The sequence below is a fragment of the Homo sapiens genome, chromosome 6 (genome assembly GCF_000001405.40).
Source record: "Homo sapiens chromosome 6, GRCh38.p14 Primary Assembly".
Classification (NCBI taxonomy): Eukaryota; Metazoa; Chordata; class Mammalia; order Primates; family Hominidae; genus Homo; species Homo sapiens.
The window spans coordinates 74,938,967-74,962,545 of record NC_000006.12 but is presented as its reverse complement, the minus strand read 5'-3'; the positions used below and the strand labels follow the sequence as shown (position 1 = coordinate 74,962,545).

The window sequence follows — 23,579 nt, the reverse complement described above, 5'->3', positions numbered from 1 at the left end:
ATAAATTCCTGGAAATATACAACCCTCCTATATTAAACCAGAAAGAAATAGAAACTCTGAACAGACCAATAACAAGTAAAGTAGCAAGATTGAAACAGTATTAAAAACATTGCCAACAAATAAAGTCCAGGACCAGATGGATTCACAGCCAAATTTTATCAGATATTCAAAGAAGAATTGGTACCAGTCCTACTGAAGCTATTCCAAAAGATAGAGAAGGAAGGAATCCTCCCTCAATCATTCTGTGAAGGCAGTATCACCCTAATACAAAAACCAGGAAGGGACATAACAAAATACAGAAAACTACAGACCAGTATCCTGATGAACATAGATGCAAAAATCCTCAGCTAGCTAACCAAATCCAATAGCATAGCAAAAAGGTAATCCATCACGATCAAGTGGGTTTCATAGCAGGGCTGCAGGGTTGGTTTAACATATGCAAGTTAATATCACAAGTCAATAAATGTGATACACCACATAAAGAGAAGTAAAAACAAAAATAATATGATTATCTCAATAGACACAGAAAAAGCATTTAACCAAATCCAGCATCCTTTTATGATTAAAACTCTCAGCAAAATCAGCACAGAAGGGACATATCTTAAAATAGTAAAAGCTATCTATGACAAACCCAGAACCAACTTTATACTGAATGGGGAAAAGTTGAAAGCATTTCCCTTGAGAACTGGAACAAGACAAGGATGCCCACTGTTGCCACTTCTATTCAAAATAGTACCAGAAGTCCTCTCTAGAGCAATCAGACAGGAGAAAGAAATAAAGGGCATCCAAATTGGTAAAGAAGTCAAACTGTTGCTCTTTGCTGATGATATGATCATCTACCTAGAAAACCCTAAAGACTCATCCAAAAAGCTCCAAGAACTGCTAAATGAATTCAGCAAACTTTCAGGATACACAATTATTGTACACAAATCAGTAGCTCTGCTATACACCAACAATCACCAAGCTGAGAATCAAATCAAGAACTCAACCCCTTTTACAATAGCTGTAAAGATAAATAAAATACTTAGGAATATACCTAACCAAGGATGTAAAAAACCTCTACAAGAAAAACTACAAAACACTGCTGAAAGAATTCATAAGCAACACATACAAATGAAAACACATCCCATGCTCATGGATGGATAGTATCAGTATTGTGAAAATGACCATACTGCCAAAAGCAGTCTACAAATTCAATGCAGTTCCCACCAAAATACCACCATCATTCTTCACAGAGCAAGAAAAAACAATCCTAAAATTCATATGGAACCAAAAAAGAGTCTGCATAGCCAAAGCAAGACTAAGCAAAAAGAACAAATCTGGAGGCATCACATTACCCAACTACAAACTATACTATAAGGCCATAGTCACCAAAACGGCATAGTACTGGAATAAAAATAGGCTTATAGAGCAATAGAACATAATCAGAAATAAAGCCAAATACTTAACAGCCAGCTGATTTTTGACAAAGCAAACAAAAACATAAAGTGGGGAAAGGACACCCTATTCAACAAATGATGCTGGGATAATTGGCTAGCCACATGTGGAAGCATAAAACTGGATCTTCATCTCTCATCTTATGCATAAATCACCTCAAGATAGATCAAAGACTTAAATCTATGACCTGAAACCATAAAGATTCTAGATGATAACATTGGAAAAACCTTTGTAGACATTGGCTTAGGCAAAGACTTCATGACCAAGAACCCAAAAGCAGTTGGAAAAAAGACAGAGATAAATAGATGGGACCCAATTAAACTGAAAAGCTTCAGCACAGCAAAAGAAATAATCAGCAGAGTAAACAGACAACCCACAGAGTGGGAGAAAATATTCACAAAGTATGCATTGGCAAAAGACTAATATCCAGAACTTACAAGGAACTCAAACAAATCAGGAAAAAAAAAACAATCCCATCAAAAAGTGTGCTAAAGACATGAATAGACAATTCTCAAAAGAAGATATACAAATGGCCAACAAGCATATGAAAAAATGCTCAACATCACTAATTATCGGGGAAATGCAAAGCAAAACCACAATGAGATACCACATTACTCCTGCAAGAATAGCCATAATTAGAAAATCAAAAAATAATAGATGATGGCATTGATGTGAAAGGGGAACGCTTTTACACTGCTGGTGGGAATGCCAGCTAGTACAACCACTATATATTTTACCTAACAACTAGAAATGTTACAACAAAACAAACATAAGAAAAAAAGAGGAGGAACTGATAAATAGGAAAGCACACACAAATGATTTTGAATACAGAATGGATAAATAAAATTGATGTATTTCTTTGGGAAAAATTATACCTATGGCAAGATTAAGTAAGTAAAAGAGAAACCCCATCCCCTGCAGAACTAACAAACAAATTTGAAAGAAAAATGGTATTTATCATCAGAAAAAATAAATTATTGAAAATTACAAAAGAATAATATGTGCACCTCTATTTGGAAATATATGAGACTAGAGATATTTTTGAAACAAAATTAAATAATAGAAAGCAGAAAGTATTAACTGTTCAATAATACTGGAAGAAATAACAAAAATCAGTTAACTTTCCCAAAGATTGCAGAGTCAAATGGTCTTAAAGAGTAGTTATTTTAAGCCATTAAGTTACTACTATTTCCCTCAGTATATTCAATTTTTGAAAGTATAGAAAAAGTGAAAACATCTTCATTAGGTTTTATGAAGGTAGCATAATCTTAATACTAAATGATAACACAAAAATTAAAAAATGAAAATAAAATAATTAAATATAATGAAGCTACTTAGCTCATATTTGAGTTTAAATGATAAAATGTTTAGTAAAATATTAGCAAATCAAGTTACTAGTCTATTAGAAAGTAAATATTGAGATAAAGAAGGGTTTATTTCAGAAATAGAAGAGGATTTTAAAAATGAGAATTCATTAATATATTAGTGTCAAAATTGTATATTTTAATATTTCATATAGTAATGGTATTAAAGAAGGACATTTTTCTTATTTAAAAACATTAAAAACTCTTTGTAAAAGAGTTCAATATTTTTGAAAGTTATAGAGGTTATCTATTTTCAAATAATAGACAAACAGGTGCAGGAGCCAATGAAATGTGCTCCCAATGGCTAAAGCTAGAACAAGTTGAGCAGAAAAACTTTTTTTTAAGTATTGGATTATAAGTCAAAGTATAAAAAGCTATGCATGAGTTCATACAGATATAAATAAATGATTATTATTCAATGAGGGAGAAGAGATAAATTTACTTTGCAGAATTCCAAGTAAGTTATGTAGATACTCTAACCTAAGAAGAGAATAAAACTTGCCATCCTTTAAGACTACATATAATGACTTCCTTCTAAAGAGTGCGATATGGAAACAGGGAAAAAAGTGTAATATTACAATGGATAAATCTGACAAACACACTTCATGCAGGTGATGAAGGTAAACATAAACAGTGATAAGTTATGATGATATTATGTTTCCTGGATATGACATGAAAAGGAATTTTATATTTGCGGTCTTATTTCTTAAATCCCATAAATCTAGTCTAATCATGAGAAGAACATCAGAAAAATCCTAATAGAGGAGAAGCCTGGAGAATAACTTCCTCAAAATTGTCAAGGTCATTAAAAACAAAGAAAGTCTGAGAAAATGTCACAACCAAGAGCCTAAGGAGCCAGGACAACTAAATGTCGTGTGGTAACCTAGATGGGATCCTGGATCATTAAAAGGAATCTGGTGAAAACTAAAGACATACACGATGTATATGTATATATTCAGTATAATTGTATATAACATGTATATATTCAGTATAATTGTATATAATATGTATATATTCAGTATAAACTGAATACACGATGTATGAATTTTAGTTACTAATAAATGTATCATTATTTTTTCATTAATTGCAACAAATGTACCATACTATAGTTATATTATAACTAATATTATTTTAAATCATGTTTTTTGCCATTAAAAGTAGATGGCAATTACTTTTGCACCAACCTATAATATAAAATGTTAATAAGCGGAAACTGTGCAGAACACATGGGAGCTCTTTGGAGTATCTGTTCAATTTTTCTGTAAATCTAAACTGCTCTAAAAATTGTTAGTTAAAACACGTACAAAATGCAATTGCCACATTCAGTCTGAACAGTGAAAAACTATTCTAGTGGATTTTTGATTACTATAGTTCTTTTTAGAAGTTCTAAATTAAACAGTAGTAAATGAAACAGAAATATGGTTTAAAAATAAGTGAAAAATAATCTTTCTTTACAGGAGATAGTACAGTTTTCTAGAAAACTCAATAGAATAAAAAAAACTCTTAGAAATAAAAAAGAAAATTCAGAAAACTGGGTGCCTACAATATGTATATATTTTTCATACACCAGTAATAACCAGTTATAAAATAAAATAGAAGATCTCATTTGTAGCCCTCCAAAATAGAAAATACCTAAGAATTAACAATATAATAGGAAGTTTGTACATGAAAAAGAAAACCTCGTAAAACTATTCTGAAAGATGTAAAATATTTGCATAATGGAAACAAGGCTCTTTGTGGCAGAATCTGGTAGTTGTTGTCTGATATCCATTGTTGCATTCTTCCTTTTAGGGATAGAACCCCATGTTTTTAGTGGGGGTCATGTAACCTAGGAAGAGTTCACATTTCCCACCCCATCTTGCATTTGAGTGCAGTGGTCACATAATTAAGTCCTGGTCTATTGGATATGAGTGGAAGTGATGTGAATGCCTAGGCCACATCCTTAAGAGGAAACTACTCTCACTTTTTACTCCTCCATGCTTGGGTCCGCAACACAGATGTGGTGGATGTGATGAGCTCCTGATTTACTGGACTTCCCTTAAGTGGAAAGTTATTTATTTATTTATTTATTTGAGATGGAGTCTGGCTCTGTTGCCCAGGTTGGAGTGCAGTAGCACAATCTCGGCTCACTGCAACCTCCACCTCCCAGGTTTAAGGGATTCTGCTGCCTCAGCCTCCTGAGTAGCTGTGACTACAGGCGCCCGCCACCACGCCCAGCTAATTTTTTTGTATCTTTAGTAGAGACGGGATTTCACCGTGTTAGCCAGGATGGTCTCGATCTCCTGACCTTGTGATCCGCCTGCCTCGGCCTCCCAAATTGCTGGGATTACCAGCATGAGCCACCACGCCCACCAAAAGCGTATTTTTGTCTTCATTTTTAGCTCTAATATTTTCTTTTTCCAGAACCAATTGTTCCCCGCGAGATATTTAGAAACTTTAAAGTAACCTTGAAAGACTCCGACATAACACCTTGAGTAAGCTTGAGTCACGGGACTATGGTGCCACCTTGCTGTGTTTTTCATGCCCCTGAGGTCTTTGGCAGCATCCTCTGTGATATGAATACCATTTGTAGTTTGCCTACACTTTTAATAAAACCTTTTTGCTGGAATAAGCATTGCTCCTTCCAAGTTGTTTCTTGCCCAAGAAGGCAATGCTCATAAGTGCCACCATATAAGCAAATATCTTGCAAAACTTGTGTCTTTGGTTTTGTGCACAGTTGCTGATGAAGAGATGTTCTTCCTAAGGAATCAGGTTATTCAGGCTTAGCGGCATATTTTTCTGAGTTGAAGCTTGTTTTAGAAATTGTTTTAAAGTTTCTTTTAGCATGTATAGAGAAATAAATAAATAAAATAGTGAGATATCCTCATTGTAAGAAGAAAGTCAAAGAGTATCTTACTTGACTATTTTCCTTACTTTCCTCCTGTCTTGAAACAATGCCACTAGTGTGGAAAGGTTATACAAACACAGTCCTTAAGGAAATTGACACATGCTGAACATCGATTGTGTGGGTAGGGGTGGGGGAGGTGGAGCTTAAGCTGGTCTATTTTCTATTACAATTCCAACTTGCCTAGTTGTCTGTCAATCCATTCTCTTCTCATCTCCTTATCTCCTTTCTCCCCTTGCCTAGTGGAGCAGCTTCTGGAGATCTTCTTGTTGAGTGTATCAGCACACACATGCATACTCTCCAGTCTCTGAGAAGGGCAGAATCAGCCCAATTTCACCCATGTGACTGGACAAACAATTCCAGATTATGTTGATAACACCTTTGTTTATAAAATAAATGTTACTAATGTTCTCATGACAAATGGGTTAAACCGATGTTTAAGATCCCTACATTTGGCTTGCATAGTTGATTTTCCTCTTGTTTTCAAAATGAAAATTGTTACATTATTTATTCTAACTGCAAAATAATACAGGCTTTTGTAAAATGTTCAGATATTAGAGAAACATATTAAAGTAAAAGTTACCTACATTTCAGTATCTAGAGATAACCACTCCTACCATTTTGGTGTGTCCTTCCAGGTGGCTTTCCATGCCATCTTTCTCAAACTGCTGTCTGTAAAATGCTGGTTCAGATTATTTTTTAAAGTAGAAGACTTTAATGAAAAGTTTGAGAAATGCTGGGTTAAACAATGTTAAGCATGCTTGCTGTAGGCCACAGAATTTTTATTCCTGATTGTGCTATGAGAAACTCTAAAAAAGACTTAATGTGCAGTACTTCCCAAATCTATGAGACTGGAATACCTTTTTTTGGAGAACAAAACAAAGAAAATCTGGAAAATGCTATCCTTTGAACATTTACTCATACATTAATACATGTCATACAAATGAGATAAAAAACTCAACCTAGTTTTTATCCTGTTTCCATATAAACTCAACAATGTATGATGAACATTTGCCCATATCCATAAATAGAGATTTACATCATTCTTAATGACTGTGTAATATTGCATTATATATATGTATTATCCTCTAGTGAACCAAATTCTCTGTTAATGGACATTGGACACAAAGGAACATTGAGCAAAGAGGCAAAAAAAAAGAAACATGCGCTGAATTCAGAAAAATATTTGCGAAAACTAAAATGAAATCAGTAAGCAAACAGGTGAGTATATCTTTAAGAACATGTACAGAGAACACAGAGAATTCACAGAAAGAAAAACAGTAGACCATTATAAACATAAAATAATGTTCAGCATTACATCTATGCCATGCAAATAAGGATATCCAGTTTTAATATTTAATTGATTAAAGTAGCAAAAAATAAAGACTAACAAAATACAGCATTGTTGAGGATTTGGGAAAGTGTACACTTTCACCCTGTTATTGAAAAATGTAAATTGGTACCATCTTTCTTGAGGGTAGGGTATCTACACCCATTATAATTTTCAATAAGCATATCCTTGGAAACAGTAGGCCCAGTTTAGATTACTTTTTTGGCTACAAGACTATGATCTCTTTTTTTATAAACAATCCCTTATTGAGATCTTGCCCTGGGCTGCACACTGTGCTAGATTCGTGGACAAGACAATTTTCTCAAGAAGCCTATGATATGTACAGTTTGAGCAAATAAGGCTCACACAGAAACCACTGGACTGTCTCCAAAAACTTCTGAATCTCTAGTAATAATAATGCATTTGAATAAAATCATGATTAGAACACTGAAATTAATCAAGCTTTTTCTAAACAGAATGTTTCTAGTTTCAATAGTGATTAGAAGAAAGTTTATATTCCTTTAATTTCCTGGCAGGGCTAGCATTTGTTACAACTGGAAATCCTGCTAGTGAGTATAAGCTAATAAACAGCAGGTTTCAGAAATCAGGATTTTATATTCTGAGACATGCTTTTCTGTCTTTTTCTTCTTGCACATAATTACACTTCTATTTCCATCATGTTTTCCTACTTCAGTCACTGAATGTAGCTTTCTTCATCAGAAAAATAAATTCTGATACAGAGGAAGAAGTCAGCTGGATGCATATATTTAATCCATTCAATTGGAAGCTCTGTGAGGGAATGGATTGTTTTACCCTCCACAGATCCCCAGTACCCAGTGCCTATTGCTAAGCCCATTGGGTTATTAGCCTATTGCTAAGTCCACCATTGGGTGGACTCAATATTTGTTGACTATAGTTTGAGTGGACCTCACATAAGGTGATGTTAATAAACTTAGAGCTTTGAAGGTGAGTTCTAGATGGAAAGCTTAGCCATGATATCTACTCCACATCCAAGTACTTTTTAAACATAATTGCCTAGATAGAAATGTAAAATCACTGGATGGAAATAGTAGAAACTTCATGGCCAAATGCAAATTTAGCTAAATGAAAATTATAAGAAGCAAGTATTTGGAAATTCGTCGTTGTCTAAATCAGACTGGATCATTAACATAGAGTATCAAGAAACAGGTGATTTGATAAATACGAAAATAAAATGGAAGGAGAAGGAAAGGGAATCAGAAAAAGTATGTGTTAAGGACATTAAGTACAGCTTATACCTTTATGGGTATACTACCTTTAATCCTCCCTATCCCTACAATGCTGCAATATTTTTGTTACTGTGCTATTTTACAAACGAGGACAGAATGTGTCTAACAGTTTAAATAATTTACTAAAGACCACCTACCCTGCTAGTACCTGGAATATATTGGAAATAAGCTCTGCCATTCCTTCTTATAGGGAAAGACTTGCCAAACATGGTGAAGATAGCAAATCGAAGGAACAGCATGAGAATTATCCAGTTGATAAACTATGGAAGTAGTTCTCACACTTTAGTGTATCAGAATCACCAAAGAGCTTGTCAAAACCGGCTTTCTGGGCCCCACCTTCAGAGTTTCTGAATCAGTAGGTCTGGCATGGAGTCAGATAATCTGCATTTCCAACCAGTTCCCAGGTGCTGCTGTTGCAGCTGCCAGTCCAGGAAACACACCTTGAGAATCATTGGAATAGAGGAATTTCATTATTATCATCTGTCTTGATTTTAGAAGGGGATTTGCGAAGTCTTTTTATGATATCCATTTGGTCAAGATTTTTTTAAGTATTAATCCATAATTAATTCAACAAATGAGTCATTCAACAAATAGAATAGTGACTGAGACAAAGCATGGAATTACAGTGGAAACCTGTTCCTAATATATGAAAAGTGACTTAATGACTTAATAGATATTTTAAAAGTTTAGATCATAAAGTCAATATATGGTTGAAGAAAAGAGGCTCTAAAATTACTAAGGCTTTTTCTGATTATATTAATACAGGCAGTCTATCTATTTTACTAAATTTTTTTGAGAAACTCACTCCTGAATTCATTGATCTTTTGAATGGTTTTTGTGGCCCGATTTCCTTCAGTTTAGCTCTGCTTTTGGTTATTTCTTGTATTCTTCTAGCTTTGGGATTTGTTTGCTCTTGGTTCTCTAGCTCTTTTCTTTGAGATCTTAGGTTGTTAACTTGAGCTCTTTCTAAGTTTTTGATGTGGCCAATTAGTGCCATAAATTTCCCTCTTAACATTATCTTAGTTGTGTCCCAGATATTCTGGTTCATTGTATTGGTTTCAAAGATCTTGATTTCTGCCTTAATTTCATTATTTACTCAAAAGTCATTCAGGAGCAGGTCGTTCAATTTCCTTGTAATTATATGGTTTTGAGTGAATTACTTAGTCTTGAGTTCTAATTTGATTGCACTGTGGTCCAAGAGATTTATGATTTCAGTTCTTTTGCATTTGCTGAGGAGTGTTTTACTTATGATTATGTGATTGATTTTAGAGTAAGTGCCATGTGGTGATGAGACGAATGTGTATTCTGTTGTTTTTTCTGTAGGTATCTACAAGGTCCAGTTGATCCAGTGCTGAGTTCAGGTCCTGAATATCTTTGTTGATTTTCTGTCTCAATGATCTGTCTAATATTGTCAGGGGAAAGTTAAAGGTCTCCTGCTACTATTGTGTAGGGGTTTAAGTCACTTTGAATGTCTCTAAGAACTTGCTTTATAAATCTGGGTGCTCCTGTGTTGGGCTCATATATATTTAGGATAGTTAGCTCTTCTTGTTGAATTGAACCCTTTATCATTATGTAATACCCTTCTTTGTCTTTTTTGATCAACACCCTTCTTTGTCTTTTTTGATCTTTGTTGGTTTAAATACTGTTTTATCTGAAAATAGAATTGCAACACCTCCTTTTTTTCTGTTTTCCATTTGCTTGGTAAATTTTCCTTCATCCCTTTACTTTGAGTGTCTTTGGAGGTGACGCATCTCTTGAAGGCAGCATACCAATGGGTCTTGGCTCTTTACCCAGCTTGCCACTCTGTGTCTTATAATTAGGGCATTACATTTAAAGTTAGTATTGTTATACATGGATTTCATCTTGTCATTGTGATGCTAGCTGGTTATTTTGCCAACTTATTTATGTGACTGCTTTATAGTGTCACTGGTCTGTATACTTGACTGTATGTTTGTAGTGGCTGGTAGTGATTTTTTCCTTTCCATATTTAGTGCTTCCTTCAGGAGCTCTTGTAAGGCAGGTCTGGTGGTAGGCATAATATGACAACTATGGGAAGGAATCCCACTGTTCCCCATGGTTGAAGAGAATATATAGATTAATAAACTTAATTCCAGGTGCCTCTTCAAAAAGTAGAAGAGACTCCAGAGTAGTGAAAGGTCTAGAACTGGTACATGAAATGCCAGGACACAGAGAAGATTAAGTGGCTCAGCTTATTTGGGTTGTGAAGTAGCAGCTCCTACACTGGTGAGGAATTGTACAAAATAAACTCTATCTACTTCTGACCTAAGATTTAGTTCAAATTTTAGGGGAAAGACACATAAACAACTATTATACTGCAACACAAAAGGAACCAATTGCTATAATAGGGCTTATTAAAAATGGGCCAGGAGAGAATAGGAAAGAGGGAGTAGACAGGACCATCATGATCCAGCAAGGGTCACAGGAATGCTGTGTCTAAGGTAAGTCCTGAGAAAGTAGTAGAATTTCAAAATGTGGAATTTAAATTTATTCAATTCAACCAACACTTGTGGGACATTTATTGCATATGGGGCTAGGCACCAGATACAAAGATAAATATGACATTGTCTCTGCCCTCCAGAGTGCTGACCACAGCAGATGTTGTGCTAGCTGCTGGGTATAGGGTGGTGGGAAGAAAACAGAAGTGGGTTCTAAGTCTCATGAAGTATATATGACAGAAATTTGTATAATGGGGTAGAAATTTTGAAAGAAGTTGGAAAGGAACTCTATGGAAAGAGCATGACAAGAAACACAAATATGGCTGTCAAATGCAAGAGGTACTCTCCTTGACTGAGCAGTTCACTTGTGGGAGTGAAGATGTGAATAAATACAGTGAGAGATAGTTTGGGTGAGTATTAGTGTAGATAAATGAAGGGGACATGCCTGGAGAAGTTTTGACCTAATTAATTGGGTAACAGGATTTATGTAAAAGATGTTAAAAAATGGGGTTGATATCATCCAGTCTGTTTGGGAGGATAACTGGTGACCACATAAAGGACAGATTTGAGAAGCAAGAGGTTAGATGTGAGTATATTAGGTGAGAGGTCACTGCTCAGGACCATGTGAAAGAGGAGCGCTTTTGCTCATTATGTTAGAAAGTTCAAATATGATATTAAAGAAAAAATGTACATAGTATATGCTTAAAAATACTCAAAATAGCCATTTGCTTTCTTCTCTCTTTCCTCCCTACCCTCCATGTCTATTTGCCTCTCCTCTTCTCTTACCTTTTCTTACTGTTTGGAAAGATGTTTCTAGGTCCAATAAAATATTTTTGTGTTAAAATTACTAGAGGGATTTTCCTGCGTTTGACTGAGAGATTCTAAGCGGGCAGATTGCTAAATTATATCACTTATTTATCAGTTGGTAAAAACCAAATCCATATTTTCATAGCATTCATTATGATTTGGACTATAAGTATGAGTGCATGCATTGCATATTTTATTATGTTTTCCTTTTTGGCATGGTGCATGGAAAAACGATTTTGTTATTAAGTTCTACTTTTAATATAATATTATTCCAGTTCTATGCTGAAGGTACTGTGCTGCCAGAGCAGGGAGTTTTCTGCACTACTTACCAGTCATTGGCTTATCTTATACCAATGTCCTCTCCTTTGGAGCAGGATAACCCAGGGAAACAAATAAAGCATAGGCTAAATAGTCATCAAGTCAATAGCATTTTCGATTTCAAACAAGACAATAGAGCACCACTAACAAAGAAATGTAAAACGCTAAACCTAGTGAGGCTAAGAAGTTTAATATCAAGGGAAAATAATAAAATTAAAACTTCAACAGTTTGTTCTCACTTACCTTCACACTAAACTGTTCTCAAGTTTATTTGGTAATTCTCTAATTCTGACTATATTGCATCAGTACAAATAGCGAGAGGAAAATCTATCTAACTTGTGATAATGAACCTATGGCTTTCATTAAACTCTGTGACATAATTTATTTGCAGAGAGGGTACTTAATGTGGTCTTTGAGTTATTGTTTCAAAGAATTCCATTTATCAGAAGGGTATTTTCAATGGCTGTGGATTCGGACAACATTTATTTGTATATAAGATTGATTAGATTACTTCCACTAATTTTAAAATAATTATGTCAGAGAATAGAATTTTTTGTTTGGTGTGATAAAGTTAATTATATTGACTTGAATAACAAAAATAAATATGATTGAGGAAAGGGAATGAGGTAATATTTCTGTTAGCCTGTTAGCATAGGAGCAAGTGATAATTATTGAGAGTCCACAGGTTTGGCATTAACCAACTGAAAAATAAGAATACATGTCACTGTTAGGAAGCAATATTGGTGATAATGTGCTCGTGGCTATTTCTGTAACTCTAGCTCTTGATACCAGTGGTGCAGATGCTGTATCGAAAGATACAAATTTGCAACTTCAAACAAGCAAGCAAGAAATGGAACTCATCTAAATGGTCTAAATTAAGACCTATCTAGGAATCTATACTCCATGAACATGTAACATATCCAATTTCAGTTACTTTTTGGAACTTCTTCCTTCCCAAGGCCATACCAGAAAGCATAAGGCATAAAGGGCTATGACAGAGCCTTTCATCTCAGGCCGTGAGTGGTTGCTGACACCTCATTAATGAAGCTGGCCTGGGCTGTTGTCGTTTATGGTGCTGCTGCTCCTGCACCAATATGAAGGTGGGAATCTTGGCCTAGGCTGAGAGTTCTGGTGTTTAGGGCTCATTTTATTTGCACTCTGAAATATTTTCCTGGCATTCTAGCACTTTGTGGGGACTGGCTCCCCAGTATTCTTGGGATCCTGTAGACCCTATCTTCTTCATAGCCTCTGGGAATCTCTGCTTTTCTTACTCTCAAGAATATGTGCATTCTCCCACTCTCCACTTGGGATCCAGAGGACAATCTTTAATTAGCACAGACTCAGAATCTTGTGAAAGATTACAAGGGGAGTTTTATCCAAGCTGAAGGATATGTTAAAAAGGTCTTGCTTTTGGTTTGGAACAGGGGAAAAATACTATAAGGCAAACAACTATAAAATAGTATGCTGGTATATTACAATATTTCTTATGTTGCTCCCTTTCCCTGGTGATGCAGATGTGGGCTTACTGGTATAGACTGGTTGGGTCTCTTTATGACTGCCGAGGGCCTATGTGTTATACAGCTGGGGGCTCCATTCCCCCCAGAGTCAAGCTGTGCAGAGTCAGCATGGTTGCACACAGGCCTGGGTTCAGTGGCAAGCGGTATATCCTGACAAACACGGTAGGTTGCAGAGTTAGTCCTGCATCTTGCCTCCTCTATCCACCACTCCCTCATCCCCCCACCCCTCTCAACATGTGAGTCTTGCTTATTTCCCTATATTTGCTTTTCTTGACTTCTATGATCTGTTACTTATGTGACTCCGTTGTTCTGATTTTCTTATTTTGAGTTTCTCTTTGAAGGATAAGAGATGCTGGCAATTTCCTTTGTCTATATGGCAATGTCTTTGTCCCTTTGTGTCTGAGCATCACAAGATATATAAGATATCCATACATTAAGATGGAAAATATTTCTGGATTCACTCCTATTTGTAAACATTTGGGTCTGGGAAGAATGAGGAAAGGAAATGCTAATACTACATTTCAAGCTTATAAACATTTACAAAAATACATGCATCAGATTGGTTTTTTAGATACCATTTTGCAACATGTAGATGCAACTCATACCAAAATAACTTCTTTGACAGGTGTTTCTCTGAGTAGGCATGGTGTCACTTCCATTAAGGCAGAGGGCTTGATCATACATTTTTTGATGCGTCAATGTCTAAAGTACCCTTCCTTCCTCCTTCCTTCCTTCCTTCCATCCTTCCTTGCTTCCTTCCTTCCCTCCCTCCCTCCCTCCTTCCTCCCTTCTTCCTTCCTCCCTTATTTTCTCTGTCTCTCCCTCCCTCCCCCTCCCTCCCTTTCTTCCTCCCTCCCTCTCTTTCTCCCTTCCTCCCTTCCTTCCTTTTCCTCTCCTTCCTTCATCTCCTTCCTTCCTTTCTTTCTTTCCTTCTTTCTTTTTGAAACAGTTTTGCTCTGTCACCAGGCTGGAGTGCAGTGGTGTGATCTTGGCTCACTGCAACCTCTGCACACAGATTCAAGCGATTCTTCTGCCTCAGCCTCCAGAGTAGCCGGGATTACAGGTTCATGCCACCACGCCCGGCTAGTTTTTGTTTTATTAGTAGAGATGGGGTTTCACCATGTTGGCCAGGCTGATGTCGAACTCCTGACCTCAAATGATCCACCTGCCTCAACCTTCCAAAGTGCTGGGATTACAGGTGTTAGCCACGGCGCCCAGCCTAAAGCACCGTTTCTACAGTGAACAGCATACCAAACTTTTATTCCAGATTAAAATCCCAAACAAAAGACAAAGAAGATCTGTAAAATTCCTGCAGCAATTTTACAATGTTTTGTTTATTGGCTATATTTTAAATAAATAAATGAAATATTACCTCAAATGAAAGCATTCACATTGAATTCTAAACAAATAAAATGGAATGAGCAAAATTGAGTCAGGGAGCAAGAAGTATTTATTTGAAGCCATTTGATGTGCCTGATACTGTTTTAAGTGCCCAGGAATCCATGAAAAACATATAAAAATAATCCTTGCCAATAAGGAGTGTTAAATCTAGATCGAAAAACTGTGTAGAAAATAGCTAAAGAACAATGTAGGAAATAACAGATTCCTTTTGGTAGGTAGAAACTTAAGTACAATATGATCAGACTATAAGTTTATTTTAGGTTCAGTTAGGAAAGTGAAGCTGCAGTGGAACCAAGAGACATAAAATCAAAGAATCACATTCCTGCTTTCAAGACATATTTGAAGTCTTGCTCGTGATTGGAAAAATATACACTGATTCTAAATATGTTTAATATATTTTATTAAACCTATCTGGGTACCATTGGTCATGTTGGGAGGGAGTAACTCCCAACTTAAGCCAAATGCTCAGTGGGGAAAACATCCTACCTTGGCAGGAGAACAAGAATAAAGGTGAAACAATAAGGCATTTTCCAGGTTCAACCAAGTTCTGTGTAAACCGAAGAAGCTAGGCTGAGAACAAGACAGAATTGTAAAAAGATCAAATGAAAAAGAATGTGTGCACTGGCTTGCCTCTGTGACTCATTTGAGAGTGAAATTGTTATCACATGAGCCATTTCCTGAAGTTTTAAAAAATATCGGGCCCTGTTCTGTTTCATTGATCTCTGATCTTTGACAAACCTGAGAAAAATAAGAAATGGGGAAAGGATTCCCTATTTAATAAATGGTGCTGGGAAAACTGGCTAGCCATATGTAGAAAGCTGAAACTGGATCCCTTCCTTACACCTTATACAAAAATTAATTCAAGATGGATTAAAGACTTAAACGTTAGACCTAAAACCATAAAAACCCTAGAAGAAAACGTAGGCATTACCATTCAGGACATAGGCATGGGCAAGGACTTCAGGTCTAAAACACCAAAAGCAATGGCAACAAAAGCCAAAATTGACAAATGGGATCTAATTCAACTAAAGAGCTTCTGCACAGCAAAAGAAACTACCATCAGAGTGAACAGGCAACCTACAAAATGGGAGAAAATTTTCGCAACCTACTCATCTGACAAAGGGCTAATATCCAGAATCTACAGTGAACTCAAACAAATTTACAAGAAACAAACAAACAACCCCATCAAAAAGTGGGCGAAGGACATGAACAGACACTTCTCAAAAGAAGACATTTATGCAGCCAAAAAACACATGAAAAAATGTTCATCACCACTGGCCATCAGAGAAATGGAAATCAAAACCACAGTGAGATACCATCTCACACCAGTTAGAATGGCAATCATTTAAAAGTCAGGAAACAACAGGTGCTGGAAAGGATGTGGAGAAATAGGAACACTTTGACACTGTTGGTGGGACTGTAAACGAGTTCAACCCTTGTGGAAGTCAGTGTGGCGATTCCTCAGGGATTTAGAACTAGAAATACCATTTGACCGAACCATCCCATTACTGGGTATATACCCAAAGGACTATAAATCATGCTGCTATAAAGATACATGCACACGTATGTTTATTGTGGCACTATTCACAATAGCAAAGACTTGGAACCAACCCAAATGTCCAACAATGATAGACTGGATTAAGAAAATGTGGCCCATATACACCATGGAATACTATGCAGCCATAAAAAAGGATGAGGTCATGTCCTTTGTAGGGACATGGATGAAATTGGAAATCTTCATTCTCAGTAAACTATCGCAAGAACAAAAAACCAAACACCGCATATTCTCACTCATAGGTGGGAATTGAACAGTGAGAACACATGGACACAGGAAGCGTAACATCACACTCTGGGGCCTGTTGTGGGGTGGGGGGAGGGGGGTGGGATAGCTTTAGGAGATATACCTAATGTAAATGACGAGTTAATGGGTGCAGCACACCAGCATGGCACATGCATACATATGTAACTAACCTGCACATTGTGCACATGTACCCTAAAACTTAAAGTATAATAATAATAATAATAATAATAATAAAAACAAACATCGGGCCCATCTTTGAACTCTGGTCTATCTACCTCCAAAGCCTGTGTTCCTGTGTCCTTCGTCTTCCAATGAAGAGCCCAGGAGGTGTTATTGGGAGAAAAATATCATGAAATTGCTTGAGGCGCTTCTAGGAGACAGAAGACATTGTGGAACTAGAAGTAGAGCAGAGAGATTCAAACTCCAGTGAATCGAAAATGGTCTAGGAGACAACTGGGGCTGGTGGTGACTGTGGAAAGTATACTCATGTCTCAGAGGACCCCTGGCTAATCAGCCTCTGCCAACTGTTGTCATAAGGAGATGTGGGTATGCTTAGTCCTCCAGTGTTTCAAGAGGAACCAGAAATCTAATTGTTCATGTAAAAATGTCTCTCATATTTTAAATGCTGGTACTTATTCATTTGTTTTTAAAAATAAAAATATTCTATAGGTCAAATAAAACATTTCTGACTGGTAATTGGTCTGTGAGTCAGGAGCTGGCAAAATCTGAGATGGTGTGCCGTGCTGCGCAAGCCTTATTACTTGAAGGTTTCTTGTTTTAGCTCTTCTTTTACTTGAGAAAGCCTGTAGGGAGACAAGGGTTATCTTCCTTTGTGCTTTTGACTTTCAGGAGAATGGAGCTATTCTGGAGAGAGAATGGCAGTGGATTAAAAGTTCTGAACCTGCCTGGGTCTCAATCACAGAAACCTGAAACAGCCATTGGACCCCCATTGCTAATCCCTGTGCAGTCTGTAGTCACACCTGGAGTGTCAGCTTTTATAGGTGGAGGTAAGCTTTATATACCTTCATTGTAACTAGTCCAGGTTGAGACAGAAAGTGAATACTCAAGAAACACCCTAATGTTCACAAAACCATTTAATGTAGATCTAGGCATATGAAATGGATACTATTTGATTGTTTTTGACCTTAAAAGAGTCAATTTCATATTATTGTTACTGCCTCAAAGCCATCTCCTTTCCCAGATACTAACCCGTATAAGCAGATTTGTGAAGTCATCAGAGTTTGTTTTTGAAGAAATTTAGCATGGTGGTTAAAAGTGTGGGGCTATGGAGCCAGATTACCTGGGTTTGAATACTGGCTTTCCTACCTTCCAGCTGGTTTGCCTCAGATTCCTTATCTTTACAGTAAAGCTAAAAGTAGAAACTACCCTCTTGTAATATGTTTGAGAGGGACAGAGGCATTATTGCATGTGAGTCTTAGTGTCACAAGGTATGCTCTTGGCAAATGAAAGTTATTATTTTCATTTTCTCTTTCTTCACTTGTCCTGATTTGATTGATTAGGAGTCCTTTCCTGTTATGCCTTACCCAGTCTAATTTTTCCCTTCAAAATTACCTCATTTATGTCCTTATCCAAATTTCTTTCCCATCAATCCCAATCTTAGTTGGCACAAGAAACACATTTGGATAAATATGACCGATGCTAGTTTACTAGATAACTTTTCCCAGTAGCATTTTCATTTTAAATAAAACACTGGAAGAAGTTTGTTTGTTTGTTTCCCAAACTTGCCTGGTGGTAAGAAGTATCCAAGACTGTTAAATCTCCAGACTCCATCCTTGGAGATTTTGGTTTTGTTGGTTTGGAATGGGCTCTGGGAATCTATATTTTTCATAACTACCTCAGGTGAATTATTATTTCCAGGCAAGTTTGGGAACACTGTTTTAAACCAAATAACACAATTTCTGATGATGATACACCATCCTCTATGATTGGCACATTTGCTTCTCCTTTCTTGGGAGGGTTTGCATATGCACTTCTAATGCTCCCTAAATCACAAACATGGGCAACTTTCTTCTCCACCCATGCAGATAATCTGAGATCTTAATTTTAAAATTAACTGTGAAGCGCACCATTTCCTCTCCCCACCCAAATTAGTTACTCTGCCTTAAAGTCTTCAAGGAAAAGATCTTGCTTGCATTGTTGCTCATACAAATACTCTTCAGATTAGTGCCGTTCAAAGTGAGGAGGAACAGGAGTATTTGCATCATCTGAAAACATGATAGACATGCAGGATTTCAGGCCACGTCTCAGATCTAATTGACTCAGAATCTGCATTTTAACATGCACACTAACATTTGAGAAGCACAACTTTAAAGTGTAAGATACACATTTAATTTATTCAATATAATTTAGTTGGCAGTGAACTTTATAAAACCTTCTCTTCTGTGTTCTTGATATTATTATTATTATTTGAGATGGAGTTTTGCTCTTGTTGCCCAGGCTGGAGTGCAATGGCACGATCTCGGCTCACCACAACCTCCGCCTCCCGGGTTCAAGTGATTCTCCTGCTTCAGCCTCCTAAGTAGCTGGGATTACAGGCATGCACTACCATGCCTGGCTAATTTGTTGTTGTTGTTGTTGTATTTTTAGTAGAGGCAGGGTTTCTCCATGTTGGTCAGGCTGGTCTTGAACTCTCGACCTCAGATGATCTGCCTGCCTTAGTCTTCCAAAGTGCTGGGATTATGGGCATGAGCCACCACACCCAGCCTCTTAATATTATTTTTAAGGTAATTTAGTGTTTCATATTTTGACAGTATTTTAGATGAAAGCAAAAGCATTATATTGCATATTTCTATCTGTAGAGAGCCTTTTCTGTATGTTAAATCTTCCTATATGTAGGTAACACTTTAAGCAGTGCATTTTAACCAGACAGTAACCACGTAGCTAGCTAACCACTATGAACATTGGCTCAGTGAAAGGGCTGAGAATGCCTTCCATACATGGCAACTTACAGAAAAACCACATAAATACGATGTGGATTTTCTATTTACTTGACATATTGGTGCTTTCTTTGCAGACTACATCTCAGCCACCTCTCTTTAACATTTTGATAAAAAGTTACACGGAACATCTAAAACGAGTTTAGATCAATGACATTTGTTTACTAGATAGTAGTACTCATTTTTCCATGTTCAGCAGGGAGAGCAATTCACATTTAAAAATTTATACTGACTTAGATACACGTAATAAAAATTAATATTTTCTTTTTATCTCCTTAATCTTTACCTCTCACTTTCCCCCTTCCAGCCCCCGAACCTCACATGTAGCATATGCCCCACTACAGTACTTGCTTATTTAATATTTGTTGAGTTATAAAAGAATTGAGTTTCACTCATGACTCTATGCTGCTTGTCCTGTATCAGTCTTTTCAGTTATGTCTAAATATACATGTAACGCTGGTGGTCCACATCATCTTTATGCAAGAGTGATCCAGCTCTCTGTGGACACTCATTAAACACTTATTGAGAATGAGGTTGTTTTTGCAGAGCATGTGTCTTTGAGAAGAAACACGAGCATGGCAACATGCTTGTATGGATTTTTAGTCTATTTTTAGTCTATTTTGAGGATCATCCACCTCTAAGCGACTCAGATTAAAAATATGTTACTTCATGAAATAAAAAGAAGCTACTGACTCAGTGTTTAGAGAGTGTATGCATTCTACCAGAAAGGTAATCAGCTTCTCCGAGTCATCCATACTCTTGGATGGAACATATACTAGGAAAGGGGGATGTCTGGATTAGTTTTATTTATAGAAAATCACATGGTTAAAATAAAGGCAACCACAAATCATTGGTATTCCTGTCTTTACTTTTGACAACCATAACCTCTCTACCCATATTTATAAGTCAAATCTATATGGAGAATTGGCTTATTTAAAATAGAATTTTAACAAATACAAACAACAACCCAGAAGTGGAATTGCTTTTATTAGTCTTGAAATTGACTTGAGGATGTCTTTGCCATCCGAATATTGTTAGTATGACACTATTATAAGGTTCAAAATATGGTGCAGCATAAAGCAAAGCATGTAGTCAGCTCAAATTGTGATGGTGCAGAGCATGACACTAAGTATGTAAATATAAGTATTGTTTTACTTTATAATAGCCATAAAATTTTTCATAGCTTTTTTACTGCCACATGTGTGTTTGGATTAAAAAAAAAATCCCTTGTATTTTAAATTCAAACAGGTTCCAAATCACAAACATCTGGAGAAGAGTTTTCTTGAAAGTATTAATTTCACAGTACTTTATTTTCAGAATATCTTACGTTTAAAAACAAAATCAACTATATATTTCAACAGAAAGAAAGCAAAATGAAGTTCATTATGTGGTGAAATGCCAAGACCAGATGTTTTTAAAATGATCTTGGACACTCAGTTTCTAAGAGCATAGAAAAGTATTAGCAAAACCATGTTTAAACTGAACATTCTGATAAACAAAATTGTTTTTATATTTTTCAGTTAGAAATGTAATACATGCACTATTATACCATTGTGAATTATAAACTTAATTGTTTTTTTGAAGGGAAGGAATGCTATCCATGATGATGCAAAGCTGCAAACCCCTCATGAATCCATTGTTGGATCTATTGCGTCTTCTAAAGGAAGCCTACAGCTGTGCTGTTCAATATGGTATCCACTGGATATAAGGGGCAATGGCCACATAAAATTTGGCTACTAAGACTAAAGAAATAAATTTTTAAATTTTATTTAATATTAATTAAATTAAAATTTTAATAGCCACATGTGACTAGCGGCTATAATATTGGTAAGTGCAATCCTACACAATAGAAAAGAAAGAATTCTAGTTCCTAGGAAATCATTTTTGGCTTTTTAGTGCCTGAAATTTTTGGCAGTAGATTGCTGTATCCCAGTCGGGCTCTTAGATTTTTCCAGACTAAACAGGTTAATGTAGATGAAAGTTTAAGCACAGTCTGTGACAGTGAAGTGGTATGTATGCTCACTCAATTACTTTACTACCAGGGTTGTTAATGTTACTACACAGACATCTTTCCTTCCAAATTCCCTGGCTTTCTAAGAAGTTCACCCACAATTCTGCATGTTGGAGAGCAGCTTTGGTGTGAGTTTCTCATTGCTCTTGGCTCCACTTCACATTCGACTTCTTTCAGGTAATGCCTCCCCTGAGTTACCCATTTGAGTAGAGAGGGGGGCCAGGATTGCAACCATATCCCATATCTTTCATTCAGTCTCTAGAGATTCAAGGGCTATGTAAACAGGATTTCCATTCATACTGAAAATGACTAGGAGATAAAGCCACAGGCACACATCACAAAGAAATAAAGCTGAATAAAGACGGACAAGTAATAGAAGCCTAAAGAGTCAACCAAGCTATTGAATAAAATATATTCACTAATCCTGGAGAAAATACATGTTTAACATTCTAAGTTAGAAGACATGAAGGTAAAAAATTTGACCAAGGAATGTGTGAATCAATCAGATTTTACTGGCGCAAGGAATGTTTTGAAGAGTCATTTCAACATCTTATGTAATAATGAAATGTATCCAGAGAGAATAAAGGAGTTGACTCAGATCACATGTGTATGGAAAGAGCTCTGGTCTATACTGTGGGTCAAAAACGACTAGGCCAGTGGTTTTAATTGATACAACATTTCATACTTCTTTAATACTCTGTAGAGAATGCCACTTACTGTTGTTTCTGAAGTGACCTGAAGGACAGTTGAGAGCCAACCTAATGTAGGAATGTCTCTTGTCTCTTTTCCCAGCACGCTCTCCAGAAGGGAAAATCCCCAAACAAGTCTTCAAATATGAGCTTTTCAGCTATCCATGATAGCCTATAATTTCAAGCTTTTTAAGGTCATTCTGGGAGAGATGTTTAAGATGAGAGAGTTCTTTTTCCTTTTGAAAAAAGAAACCTCTGGTTTTCCAAACATTTCATAAACCTCTGGAATTCTTTGGAGTGAGCCAGAAGTGGAAAAAGTAACTGAAACTGCTTGGGAAAAATTAGTAGTAGCTGTTGAAAAGAGCATTTATCAGTAATCCAGACATCGAAGACATTTAGACTTTGTTGAACAGGCAGTTTGTGGTGAGAAATGACTGGTTTAGGGGCATTGCTAGTCAGGCAACCTGGGCTAGAACTGGCTGGGTTGTGTTGGTTTCCTAGGGCTGTTGTAATCAAGTACTGCAAAGGAGGTGCCTTAAAACAGTGTAAATTTATTATTTCACAGTTCTGGAGGCTATAAGTCCAAACCAAGTTTTCTGCAGGGCCATGCTTTCTCTGAAGGCTGTAGAGGAGAATCTGTTCCATGTCTTTCTCTTAGCTTCTGGTATTGCTGGTAATCCTTGGTGTTCCCTGGCTTGTAAATATGTACATCAATCTCAACCTCTGTTACCTGACATTCTGTCCCACAGTGGTTTCCTCTCCTCTTCAACATGTGTCAGTCTTATGCAAATGTACTCACGCACACAGTGACATCTAGTGGGTCTGGACATAGACAGTTGAATCCTCTTGAATGCTGGAATCCCTTTATGGTTTGACTATCTCTTTATTTGAGGATCATAAGTCTATGTGTTTCCAAGGAATTTTGCTGACACTATGCAGCTATCAGCATGAAATGAGGCTCAAGTTTATTAGTAGCTCTGTGAACGTAATAGATGGAAACTATATTTGACCTGTTTTTTTTTTCTTGGAAAGCCAATAAAATTTCACACAAGCCAGGATGGAACATGAGACACAAGGCATTTCCTCCACATTAGTATCTTTAAGCCATAAGAGAGGCAAAGTATCATCTGAAAGAGACTTCACATATTTGTGTATAAAGTTTTCTTCATTAAATGTGACTCTTAAATGGAAAAACAAAGATATGTTTTACACAGAGTCCCCTTCAACTTTTCTTTGGTCACCCTCTTCCTCCCCGACTGACAGCTTTGTTTTCATTCGTTGAGAGGTCTTTCTCTTATCCACAGTGGACGGATCATGTTTTCAAGAGCTTCTGCATATA

At 36.5% G+C, this 23,579-nt stretch overlaps 2 annotated features.

The window, feature by feature from the left end:
* Window positions 11,886-12,055: an enhancer, noted in NCBI's record as "experimental_94572 CRE fragment used in MPRA reporter constructs". NCBI's record gives its function as "activates a minimal promoter by MPRAs in K562 erythroleukemia cells, with activity observed for both the introgressed and non-introgressed 6:75660292 variant alleles {active_cell/tissue: K562}" and the evidence as "EXISTENCE:reporter gene assay evidence [ECO:0000049][PMID:34662402]".
* Window positions 12,554-12,723: an enhancer, noted in NCBI's record as "experimental_94569 CRE fragment used in MPRA reporter constructs". NCBI's record gives its function as "activates a minimal promoter by MPRAs in K562 erythroleukemia cells, with activity observed for both the introgressed and non-introgressed 6:75659624 variant alleles {active_cell/tissue: K562}" and the evidence as "EXISTENCE:reporter gene assay evidence [ECO:0000049][PMID:34662402]".